The sequence below is a fragment of the Homo sapiens genome, chromosome 21, assembly GCF_000001405.40.
Source record: "Homo sapiens chromosome 21, GRCh38.p14 Primary Assembly".
NCBI lineage: Eukaryota > Metazoa > Chordata > Mammalia > Primates > Hominidae > Homo > Homo sapiens.
In genome coordinates, this window is record NC_000021.9 from 21,429,954 (window position 1) to 21,442,720 (window position 12,767).

At 36.8% G+C, this 12,767-nt stretch overlaps 1 protein-coding gene across 16 annotated transcripts in view; it reads left to right on the plus strand.

Moving 5' to 3' along the window:
* The window catches only part of NCAM2 (neural cell adhesion molecule 2), a 544,921-nt gene that overhangs the window by 431,545 nt on the left and 100,609 nt on the right, over positions 1–12,767 (plus strand). For 15 of the 16 annotated variants that reach the window (NM_001352592.2, NM_001352591.2, NM_004540.5 and 12 more), the window contains one exon: positions 2,155–2,328. In NM_001352592.2, the coding sequence (NP_001339521.1) occupies positions 2,155–2,328 (174 nt within the window). Of the gene's footprint in view, positions 1–2,154; positions 2,453–12,767 lie in introns of those variants that run through there. The other variant, NM_001352596.2, reaches the window with a different exon arrangement.

A 12,767-nucleotide genomic window follows, 5' to 3' on the forward strand; every position in this document is an offset into this window, starting at 1 on the left:
GACCTACAGTGACCTTTTTTAACTCTAGCAAAAAGAGTACATTTGACTTTTGACTGCCATATGAGATTTTTTATTTGTATTTATTTATTTTTGAGATAGAGTCTCTCTCTGTTGCCCAGGCTGGATTTGCAGGGACATGATCTCAACTCACTGCAACTTCTACCTCCTGGGTTCAACCAATTCTCCTGCTTCAGCCTCCCAAGCAGCTGGAATCACAGGCACACTCCACTACACCCGGCTGTTTTTTTTATTTTTGTGGAAACAGGGTTTCACCATGTTGACCAGGCTGGTCTCAAACTCCTGACCTCAAGTAATCCGCCCACCTCAGCTTCCAAAGTGCAGTGATTACAGTTGTAAGCCATCATGCCCAGCCCCAATTTTATGTAAATGACTGATATAAGAATTGAAATTCACATGTACTGCATATTTATCAGTCAAGTTTATATATATTAGCCCATTCTCACACTGCTATGAAGAAATATCTGAGACTGGATAATTTATAAAGGACAGAAATTTAATTGACTCACAGTTCTGCATTCCTGGGGAGGCCTCAGGAAACTTACAATTATGCTGAAAGGCAAAGGAGAAGCAGGCACCTTCACAGGGCGGCAGAACAGAGTGAGTGCCAGCAGGGGAAATGCCAGACCTTTATAAAAACGGGAAGAGCCAGACCATTTATAAAACAATCTTATCTCATGAGACTTATTCATTATCATGAGAACAGCATGGAGAAACCGCCCCCATGATTCAGTTACCTCCACTTGGTTCCACCCTTGACACATGGGGATTATGGGAATTAAAAATCAAGGTGAGGCCAGGCACTGTGGCTCACTCCTGTAATCCCAGCACTTTGGGAGGCCAAGGTGGGCAGATCACGAGGTTAAAAGATTGAGACCATCCTGGCCAACATGGTGAAACCCTATCTCTACTAAAAATACAAAAATTAGCTGGGCGTGGTGGTGCGCACCTGTAGTCCCAGCTACTCTGGAGGCTGAAGCAGGAGAATGGCATGAACCCAGGGGAGGCTGAGGTTGCAGTGAGCTGAGATCACGCCACTGCACTCCAGCCTGGCCAGAAAACGAAACTCCGTCTCAAAAAAAAAAAAAAAAAAAAAAAAATTCAAGGTGAGATTTGTGTGGGGACACAGAGCCAAACCATATAATATATGTTTGTGTGTGTGTGTGTGTGTGTGTATACATATATATATATTCCCTCTCTGAAAAAAAATTATTTTTTTATCCAAAGTTTAAGATTATTTCAGATGTGATAGGAACAAAAGAGGAAGAGATTCATAGAGAAATTAATGTTAATGTGTCTCTAAATCTTGATGTTTCTGGAGTAGAGTTTTCAAAAATCCCTCACTGGGATTTTTTTTTTTTCTAGTTCTGCGTGCTCTGCCTTTGAGATAATTCTTCCGAAATAATTTTTTATATTAGACACTAAATTAAATGTCCACCTAAGATACCTTATTGAACTTGAAATAATTTAAGTAGTGGATGGATTAAAATAAAACACACAAGAAGAATTTTATAGCTATTTTGAAAATATGGGAATAGTATTTTAATATCTCAACTAAAGGTTTAATTTAATTGGATAATATATAAATGAAATTAGACCTAATAGTTTACAGTCTTATTTAGTTCATAATACTGACATTTTTCTCAAAACTTAGCACTTACCTACAATTTAGGAATATAATTGTGGTGAATGCAAAGAAAATACATTTTGTATTTTCACAAGGCACCATTATTTATGGTGATGGTTGAATAATTGATTTATGTATTCTAACGTTTTAACTACCCTCTTTATCTCTCTTTTATTTTTTTTTCTTAAACACACACGAGATTGTTTTCCTGGACCTCAATAAAATGTTTATATCGTATAGAAAATGCAGAAGTAACATATTCCCTCAATAATTAAAGTGTGATTTTAATTTTACTGTCTATTTTCTGAGGTAATAAAAGTTGACTCATGTATACTTTCTTGTAATTTCAAAAGAACATTCAGGTGTTTCAGGAAGTTCTGTAACTCGAACATATTAAGTGATACAGGTAGCAGTTTTCCTTCACTCCTAGTTCTCATAACACCATAAGCCTTAATAATGGCCATTCCCATTCCCTTGGTTATGTTTTCTTTATATTTCTTTGTCCATAGACGTGCCATCCAGTCCCTATGGAGTGAAGATCATAGAGCTGTCGCAGACCACGGCCAAGGTTTCCTTCAACAAACCGGACTCCCATGGAGGTGTACCTATTCATCACTATCAGGTGGATGTCAAAGAAGTAGCGTCAGAAATCTGGAAAATTGTACGCTCCCATGGAGTTCAAAGTGAGTCAACAATTTCAAAATGTGTTGGTTAATTCAAGCTGATCTTCAGTATACCTGTATGATTGGCTTTTTCGGTTTCCTCCAACATTTTCTTTTCTTTTAATAAAATGGTGTTGGGAAGATATTTTCTGTGCCCCATTCTTCTTGATAATAACTCGAATACAGAGTGAATAGTTTCCATCTTCAGTAAAAATGAAAGAGCTTAGTAGAATCAGCAGAGTTCAATTCTGGAGGAAGAAGTCACTTTAAAAAAATTCGTTGGTGGAAAGGCAATTGCTCACATACTAGATATGATGGCTGGATTTTATGAAATGTATGCTCATGTTTCATTTATTAATATTTCTCTCAAGAATAGGTGTGAAAATGATACTGCAAAATGTAGTTACCTTCTATACTTATGAAGCCATCTCTAAAAATCTGTAGAATTTTATATATTTGTTTACTTTTTGTATTTTTATATTTTTTTACTTTTATATTTCTATTAAAAATCAAAATAATTTACAGAGCTTCTTTTCACTTACGTAAAATTTCATCGTCTTATGAAAATGTAGTTTGTTTTCTCATTAGGAGGAGACAAAACTAAAGCAGGAAATAATAAGAATTACCAGCGTTGGCCTCTGTTGTTTAAGACACAGAACCATACTGAGTGTTCCAAAAGGGAAGCATAAAATAGTGAGGAAATTAATGTTCCATAGGTCTGTTCTATGAGGATCCTACCTTGACCCTAACACATATGGTGTAGGGGTTCAGTAAAAAGCAAGAGCCTTCCTGAGAAAGAAAGAGGGAACCAATTCTAGTGAACATAGAGAGAAAGCAAATGAAATCATCCTGGTCTCATCTGTGTTGACCCTACTTTATCAGTTTGCACTGAGCATAACTATGGGTTTTTGATAGAAGTATCAGAAACATTAATCAGTCATCTATCATGTACCATATACTTCAAATAATGTTCTCAAACTGATGAGCTCATATTATTTATTTTAATTATGAAATACTTGGATTATATTATCTGTGCACATTGTGTGGTTTAGGAGAGATTTATAAAGACAGTGCCCCCCAAAAACAATGAGTGAGACGAAGGACTATAGTTTTTTTTTAAAAAATTATTAACCTGGATGCAGGAATATTGTGCTACTTTAAATTTTGTTTTGTTTTATTTTATTAAAAGAGAGAAAGGGCCAGGAGCGGTGGCTCATGCTTGTAATCCCAGCACTTTTGGAGGCTGAGGCAGGTGGATCATGAGGTCAGGAGACCGAGACCATCCTGGCTAACATGGCGAAACCCTGTCTCTACTAAAAGTACAAAAAAAAAATTAGACGGATGTGGTGGCAGGCACCTGTAGACCCAGCTACTCGGGAGGCTGAGGCAGGAGAATGGCGTGAACCTGGGAGGTGGAGCTTGCAGTGAGCCGAGATCGCACCACTGCACTCCAGCCTGGGCGACAGAGCAAGACTCCATCTCAATAAAATAAAATAAAATAAAATAAAATAAAATAAAATAAAATAAAATAAAATAAAAATAAAAGAGAGAAAAAGGAGGGTGGTAGGTGAAAAACAGAAGGAAAAAAGGCATTATTTCCTAAACTGCATAAAACTCAGTGTTTGTGCTCAAGCACAAGCACACAGAAAATTAATATTAAGTCTGAATATTATAGAAATTGAACACGGCACAAAAGTGCTGCTGCACCCTAGCCCTGCCAAACCCAGGAAAAGGTTAATAGGCTCCCTCCAGACTTCTTGCAAAGGTGCAGCACGATGGAGAATTTATAGTGCCCTTGATCTGGCCAAGTTGATCAAGGTAAAAATCCTGACATTTTATCTTACCTGTCCATCTGTCAGAGGCAGATCACTATGTTTATAAAACTGAAATATAATAACAAAGCACATTCGTTACTTTGAAATGAGAAATAACTGTCACAGAAATTAGAACATTCAGAGTCTATATAAGTACATACTTTACCTGTTGGTATATTATGAAGATACAAAATGAGAGTCAGAAACTTGTTTGGTGAGTCTAGAATATGAACTAGGGAAGCTGCGTGCATAGAATGTTTAGTGGCCTCAGACTGGGACAGTTAAAAGCTTGCGAATGAGAATAAAATACTCAAAAGTCTTGTGGCTAGGGATTTCTCACTTTGATTTGAGGAAAATGACAGCATTAGTACTTTTTTCTGTTTCCATTGTTGATTCATCTTCCATAGGTATGTTAATGAGTACCTTAAAATCAAGTTACAGTTATGTAATCAAACCACTGTATGATCTCAACTCAGTGCAGTATAAACATGAATTTTAAATTTGACTACTACATTAAGCTCTTCTTTTTGATTCTCCCTTTCAGTTATTTAATAATATATTTGGCAGACACTGTAGATATATTATCATCTTCCAGTATTAGAAAAAAAAAGTTCAATATTGTTGGTATAGTGGTGAGCATCGCTGCCTTCCAGAATAAACAGTTCAGCCATGCACAGTTTAAAACTTATAATAATGTTTAATTTTGCATTCACATTGTCTCTGGCCTCCATGAAAGATAAACCTCAACCTGGGGAGCTTAATGGTGAAATGAACTGCATCTTGTCTTGGGAAGGTGAAAGAGATCAAATACCTCATGTTTCTGGTGCTGTTGACCTCATTGGGCTGTCGCTGTCACCTGCCCTCTGTGGGACAGGCATCTAAGTACCTGCCCCTTGGGGATGTGTGACTGGAGTGCAAGCACACCAGAAGGAGATAGAATATTTCATTTTTGGAGATAGAATATTCCTTTTTGGAGACAGAATATTCATCATGGGGTGCTGCTTAGCTTGAGCTCTTTATACCTTTCCTCACCCTTTACTTCAGCAGGATTTCTTTTAAGTGTGAATGTCACCCACTAACATTATGCAATTTCCACTTGACCAAGAGAAATGCTCCACATTCTCACTTAGCTAAGATGTAAGAAACTGCATTTCTTTGCAGCTGATCTCTTTCTCATTTTCTTTCTCCTCATTTTAAAGAGACATAGTAGATCAATCCTCTGTAAAAGCAGAAGTCCAAATTTCCAAATTGCGATGCAAATATCATATCTCTCCTCTCATCTCTTGTGCCAAACAATTCAGTGGGTTCTGTTCACCTCTTGGACTTACCTTCACTTACTGGGAGGGAAGCATCACTGCGCTTTCTTCTGGGTGGAAGACTTACTAGTTTCATCAGTGGATTTTTTCCTCCGCCTAGTTTTCTGCTTACATTGCGGGGAGTGGGAAGGACAGGGGGCATGGGAGTTAATTCTCAAGGCTTGGGTTGCAAACCCAGTTTAACATCTTCTTCTTTAACTCTGCAGGAGGTGCCTGACCTCTTCTCAAATCTTAGGTATTTAATGTTTTTTTCTTCTCTCTATGAATTGTCTCAGTTGAAAATTACAGCACTACAGAAACATGCCCGCTACATGTTTCCATACAGTTTCTTATGGCTGTGCTGGTACTATTCTTTCTACTTGAGATTAAGAGTACCTGTGTAATGGGATTTATTTATTGCTGCATTTACACTTTATATCTCAAATGGTGATGTGATCTCACTTTATATATAAAATCATGTTTTGGGGAAAACCAAGTTTTTAAGGATTTCTTAGTGTAGACTCCATATTTGTATAGCAGGCATGAATGTAAATATGTAACTGTAAGATCAATATAAATGCAATGAGTACCCAGGGAAAGAAGCTGAGTAATTCCATTGGGACCACCCCTAACGTTGTAAGATATGTGTGTCTGGCACTTATTCTTTCTTTAGCCAAGAGATGTATTATTTTGTAAAGACATAGTAAAGATATTCATCAGAATAACATGATTTTTGCTGACAGAAATATGAAATGTGATGTTAATAGTCATAATTATATTTACTGTAAATTGACAGGAATGATTTGATTATTGAAACATATGACATAGTTTTGACTGAAACGTTCTACTTTAACCAAACATACTTTCATTTTGTTTCTGTGATTTCAATGAGTCACTATGTCCTTTAAAGTAGCATTTCCACCTTACTCACATTTTCCCATCTGACTGACTTAGGTCCTTTTAATACTTCCCAGAATTATTGTTTTACCCTGAACCACTTACAACATACTTTCACAATCAGTCCTTGAAAGTGCTCTCACAGTAAAATTCCCTCTTCCTCCAGAATGAGTGACTGCCAAGTGGCACTGTATTTCAGATGTTATATTGTATTGTGCATATTTTAATATATAACATATTATATTTTATGGTACTTCTCTTACATTATAACTCTGAAGGATTTTTTCTCCTAGTTTATAAACTCCATGAGTGGACCTCGTATGCCTTGTTTATGTCATTGTTTCAAGTACCAAAAGCATATTAGGGTAGAGGGAATACTGAAATTTGGTGGAGGTAGGAGAATGGAAAGGATTATTTTATAGCACCTCTGACTGGGTCTTAAGTGAATCCATTATACATCCCCTTCCAATAAGTATGTGTCTACAGAAGCAACTTTTTTTTTCTTTTTTTTTTTTGAGACAGAATCTTGCTCTTGTCCAGGCTAGAGGACAGTGGCGTGATCTCAGCTCACTGCAACCTCCGCCTGCCGGGTTCAAGCGATTCTCGTGCCTCAGCCTCCCTAGTAGCTGAGATTACAGGTGTGCACCACCACACCTGGCTAATTTTTTTTTTTATTTTTGTATTTTTTAGTAAAAATGTGGTTTTGCCATGTTACCCAGGCTGGTTTCAAACTCCTGAGCTCAGGCAATCTACCTGCCTCATCCTCCCAAAGTGCTGGGATTACAGGCATAAACCACCACGCCTCGCCAGAAGCAACTTTTAAATGGAAACTAAGGTTCAAAGTGTTTATGAGAGATTAACACACTTTTGAAAAGAGTGAAGATGAAGCAGAATTCAGCCAATGGAGTGAGCTACAGTTCAGGCTCCAGTGGTATGCCGGGAGTTGTCGTTGTTGTTGTTATTGTTGTTTTTAAGGTACACAACTCTGCACTGCATATAACATTACCTTGATCAAGAAACCAGAAGACTTTACTGTAATTCTTCCACTGGGGCATGCCAGAAATTCCACACAACATTTCTTCCAACCTCTATTGTATTGACGAATATCAGCCTCACCAGATCGATCATGTGAGCAATTTATACTATGTGAGCAATTCAATGGTTATGAATTTTCAAAGAAGTATTTATCCAATCCCCCACCAAGATTCTGTGTGTGTGTGTGTGTGTGTGTGTGTTTCTAGCACACCCTTTTATTTCATTCTAAGGATATTAACGGTCCCGGTTTATGCAGGGATCCCCACTTCATCTCCCCATTTTGAATCTTTTTTTAACCCACTGAGGCCATTCAAAACCAATCTTGTACATCAGAGACCCATGCAAAAGCTCTGAGAATCTGAGTACCAGAAAACTGCCACAATTTATAGAAAAAACAATTATATGGCTGCTCCTCTAGCTCCTGGTCTTTCCACACACTTCATTTTTGATGTTTCAGAGTTTGCTTTCCTTTTCTGTGAGATAATCAGTGGATTTGAAAAGATTTTCGAAAATGATATGCATAATTTCTAGGTGTACTTAGAAGGCTTGTTTTTCTGGCTATCTAGGAGAAGATATTGTTGAAAATTAGAATACATATTTAAAGCACATATTATATATATATATATTTGAATACTAAGGAAAAGCTTGTTTGTGCCTTCGTTTTGTAAATCACAGGTTGTGTTAATCATATATCTTAAAGTTTAAGAATTCTATGTAAGCACAATTATACTCATTCTCTGAAGCATTTGTTAGAAGATAGATTTAGGTTTATCTCTGAAAATGCAGGTACATATGGTCTCAACATTTCAGCTATCTTTTCCCTCTGAGCAGCTTTATTTATTCTAATTTATGTGAGTTTAATGTTTAGTTACTTTTCCTTGGTAGTAAATATATATGATTTTGAATACACTTATTGATGTGTCCAATTCTAATTGCTGATGTCACCACCCAGAAGTAATTATCAGCTCTTGGTGGACTGCAATGCTATTTAAGATGAATATTGTAGCATAAATACTGTCCTGTTAGTAGATTCTAATCTTAAATAAATCATTAACAAATTCTTATTAATTTTACCTTCTCACTGTGCACCTGGTCCTAGGTTTAAGGTACAATGGAAGCCAGGCCTATTATTATATTCTTTTTGAAGGTTTAGCTGAAGCCGTACTAATTATCCCAACCAATGATGTGACATGAAACTAATTTTCAAACTGTAAGGAATTGTGAACCAGTCACATATCAACAACTCGAACTATAGAGATATAGAATGTGAGTCAGTGTGACTCTTCATTTTGAGTGAGAAACATGTATCACAGCTGTAGCAAGACTTTTTGGTTGGGGAAGCTACAGGATGTATTCATTGCCAAATCATATAATATTTTGTGGGTTTCATACACCTCACTGGCCACTTAATGAAGAGAAAATACTAATCTTACAAACAGCTACTCTTTTTTTTTCAGTTTTCTTAATACAAATGACAATATCAATATTTTAAAATGTTAGGCCAGGCATGGTGGCTCACGCTTGTGAAACCAACATTTTGGGAAGGTACGGAGGGAGAATTGTTCAAAGCCGGGAGTTCAGGGTCAGTCTGGGCAACAAAGCAAGACCCCGTCTCTCTAAAAAAATTGTTTTTTATTAGTTGGGTGTGAAGGAATGGGCCAGTAGTCTCAGCTACTCAGGAGGCTGAGGCAGAAGAATCACTTGAGCCCAAGAGTTTAAGGCTGCAGAGAACTATGACTGTGCCACTGAACTCCAACCTGGGCAACACAACAAGATACTGTCTCTAAAAAAATAAATAAATAAAAATAAGTAAGTACTTCCTTTTTTTTTTTTTGATACAGAGTCTTGCTCTGTCCCCCAAGGCTGCATTGCAGCGGCACAATCATAGCTCACTACAACCTCCGCCTCCCGGGTTCAAGCAATTCTCCTGCCTCAGCCTCCTGAGTAGCTGGGATTACAGGTGCGCGCCATCACATCTGGCTAATTTTTGTATTTTTAGTAGAGATGGGGTTTCACCATGTTGGCCAGGCTGGTCTGGAACTCCTGACCTCAGGTGATCCAATCGCCTTAGCCTCCCTCAGCCTCCCAAAGTGCTGGGATTACAGGCGTGAGCCACTGCGCCCGGCCTTCAGGTTTAATTTTAGCAAAAGTTTTTATTTTAATAGAAATCTGGAGGAAAAAATATTTGTGGTAGAGAAACTTATTTCAGTTTGGTAGAAAAGTAGTGCTTTCTTGTTTTTTATATACCTTTTTTTCCTGATAGGGTTTTGAAATATAGATTTTGATTTATAATCAATATGCCTGTTCTTGATAGGTCAGAAAACTAATTTTGAATAAAGGCCTGAATTAAAATATAGTAAAGTTTAGTAGATCAGATACTGAAATCTTAGGTGCAAATATGCAAAGTACCAGCAATAAATATAGCCAGCATTCAAAAAACAAATTATTCCTATTTCTTTAAATGATATGTGTTGAAATGTTTTTATACCTATGATACACATTGTCAAAGAAAACTACTCTTGCATCCTAATAAGCAGCTGGGGATGTACAAAATGTATTCATTTATTCAAGTATAGAACACGTGTATGTTCATTCATATACTGAGTCATTGGTTTCATTAGTGAAAAATAAGAGGAGGCTAATGAAACTTCCCAAATCTCTTAAAACAGAGGAACTGACTCATGGAATATGTGTAACTCCTACTAGCCTAGTTGTGCAGTCATAAAGTTCTGCGTTAGGGCTAAAGTTATGGTAGAATTTCTCTTAGTATATTTGGCTCAACAAACTTTAGTTCGCTGCTGATGTAGAGATTTCATGCTTACATATTTCTAACAGCTTGACATTTTAAAAAATGTGTCATTAAAATAACCTTTTACTTAAAAATAATTTGATTTTTATATATGAGTTCAAAGATGGTACCAAAAGTATTCAGACACCCTTCACCCAACCTCCCCTTATAATAACATACCACAGTACATGTATCAAAATTAATGAATTATCATGGGTATATTAGTAGTAAATAAACTACAGAGTTTATTATGAAATGTCATTTTTAACAGCCTTCCTCTATTGTAGTTATCTCATATTGAAAATAAATAGGCCTGGCACAGTGGCTCATGCCTGTAAACCCAGCTCTTAGGGAGGCCAAAGTGGGCAGACTGCTTGAGCTCAGGAGTTCAGGACCAACCTGGGCAACATGGCGAAACCTCATATTGACAAAAATACAAAAATTAGCTGGGTGTGGTGGCAGGCGCCTGTGGTCCCAGCTACTCTGGAGGCTGAGATGGGAGGATCACTTGAACCCAGGAGGCAGAGGTTGCAGTGAGCTGAGATTGCAGCACGGCACTCCAGCCTGGGAAACAGAAGGAAATCCTACAACAGCAACAACAAAAAAAAGAAAAGAAAAGAAAAGAAAAAACAGAGAAGGAGAGAAAAAGAAAAAAGAAAAGAAAAAAATGGATTAATAAGAATGCAAACATGGAAAAGTTCATATCATTTTTACCTGTTAAAGATTTCAGAAATTCTATTCAACAAGTAAAAGCTACATGTACTTACCAAGCTTAGTAAACATTTTAGATGAATTTTACTTTTCTGTTTGTTTAAGACAATTTTTAGGTAGAAATATAAGTCAAGTTAACAATCAAACTCATTTGATTGACTCATTTAAATGACTCGAATTAGCAGGGTTTCAAATAAAAATTAATGAAATTCTTCATAACCCTGTAGTCTTCCAAATCAAAATTTTCAAACATACTTTTCTCTCTTGCTCATCATACTTCACTCTCAATTTGTAGATTTTTAAATTCTGGAAGTGTTTCTGCTTCAGCAGTAGTTAATATTTACATCACCTTCAGGTAAACTTTAATGCAGTTTTCATGAGAAACCCATACATGTTTCATGTCTACAAAACTAAAAGACAGTTATTATTTTACGAAGCATGGAATACCAAAAACAAAAACAATACCTTTTAAGTGACATCCTAGTGAATCTCCATTTGTCACGAGACCTCAAGCTTTCCAGTTCTGGCACAAAGTGATTACTCATACCATCACTTCAAAATGATGATTATCTTCATTTATTTTAGTTATATTGAACAAAATATACATTTAAAAAATCTAATTACTAAATATTCTCCAACAAATATATACTTAGTATATACTATTAGTGATGCATGCTTTCAAATATTTGGACTATATCAATGAATGAAACAAAAAATTATTTGCCCTTAAGGAGCTTAGATTCTAACAGATGGATTCAGATGATTTTTATGCCTTATTTCGTAGGTTTAAAAGAGCAATGGGGAAAAGGGAAGAAGAGAGGGATTGAAAATATTGAGAAGGTTGGGAGACTTAGCAATTTTAAGTAAGGTAGTGAGGGTAGGTTTTATTGGCAAAGTGATTTTTCAGCAGAGACTGGGAAAGATGAACGTGGTATCCTGGAGGAAAGCCTCCCAGGCAGAGTTAAGCTGCTAACAAAAGTGCCCTTAGGCTGGAGTGGGCTTGTTTGATTAAGGAACAAAGAGGTCAGCATGGTTGCACTAGAGAGAAAAAATCAGATGGCGTAAGGAGATGAAATCAGAAAGATACGAGGCTAGGCAAAGGGGTACTCTATGTAATGAACATGACCTGGCAGTACTGACATCTCCTGAGGGACTGTTAGAAGTGCAGACTCTTGTATCTTTTCTCAAGTCTATGAAATCTAGACTTCATTTTAACAAGATGACCCGATATTTACATACACATTAAAGTTCCAGAAGCACTGATATAACACATTGTAAGATCGCACAGGACTTCAATTCTTTTTCTGGTTTTTAGAGGCAGTCCTTTGGGGTGTTTTGTGTAGAGTATAATGACCTGAAATATCTAGGATCACTCTAGCTACTATCTTGAGGAAAGAGTGCAATAAGGCGGAACAGTTCAGAGGCAATGGTGGTCTTCTAAATGAAAGACACACAGCACTCAAACCAGGCAGTTGAGGAGGGATGGGAAGAAGTTGTCAAATTCTAGACATATTTTAAAGGTAGTGTCCAGAGAATTTCCTTAGATGCGTAGGAACATGGAGGATAGGACATAGGGTGGAAATAAACGAAATAAAGAAACTGAAGCTGATTCTGACATTTTAGACCTAAAATCTCAACTAAAAGTTGCCAAGATGGGAAAAACTAGGTGCATCTTGTTTGGTGAGTGGAAATCAGCCTTGTGAATTAAGACTTAAACTGATGTCTTTAATCCCGTAGAAATACCATGAAGGCAGTAGAAGATGGCTAAAGAGAGGTCTAGACTGTAGGTACAAATTTAAAAGTCACTTGCATTTGGATGCTTAAAGTCAGGATATTGTGAAGTCAACAGAGGAATAAATAAATGCAGAGAGGGGAAAGAAAAGGCCCATAGACTGAGCCATTGTCTGGTTTATTTACATA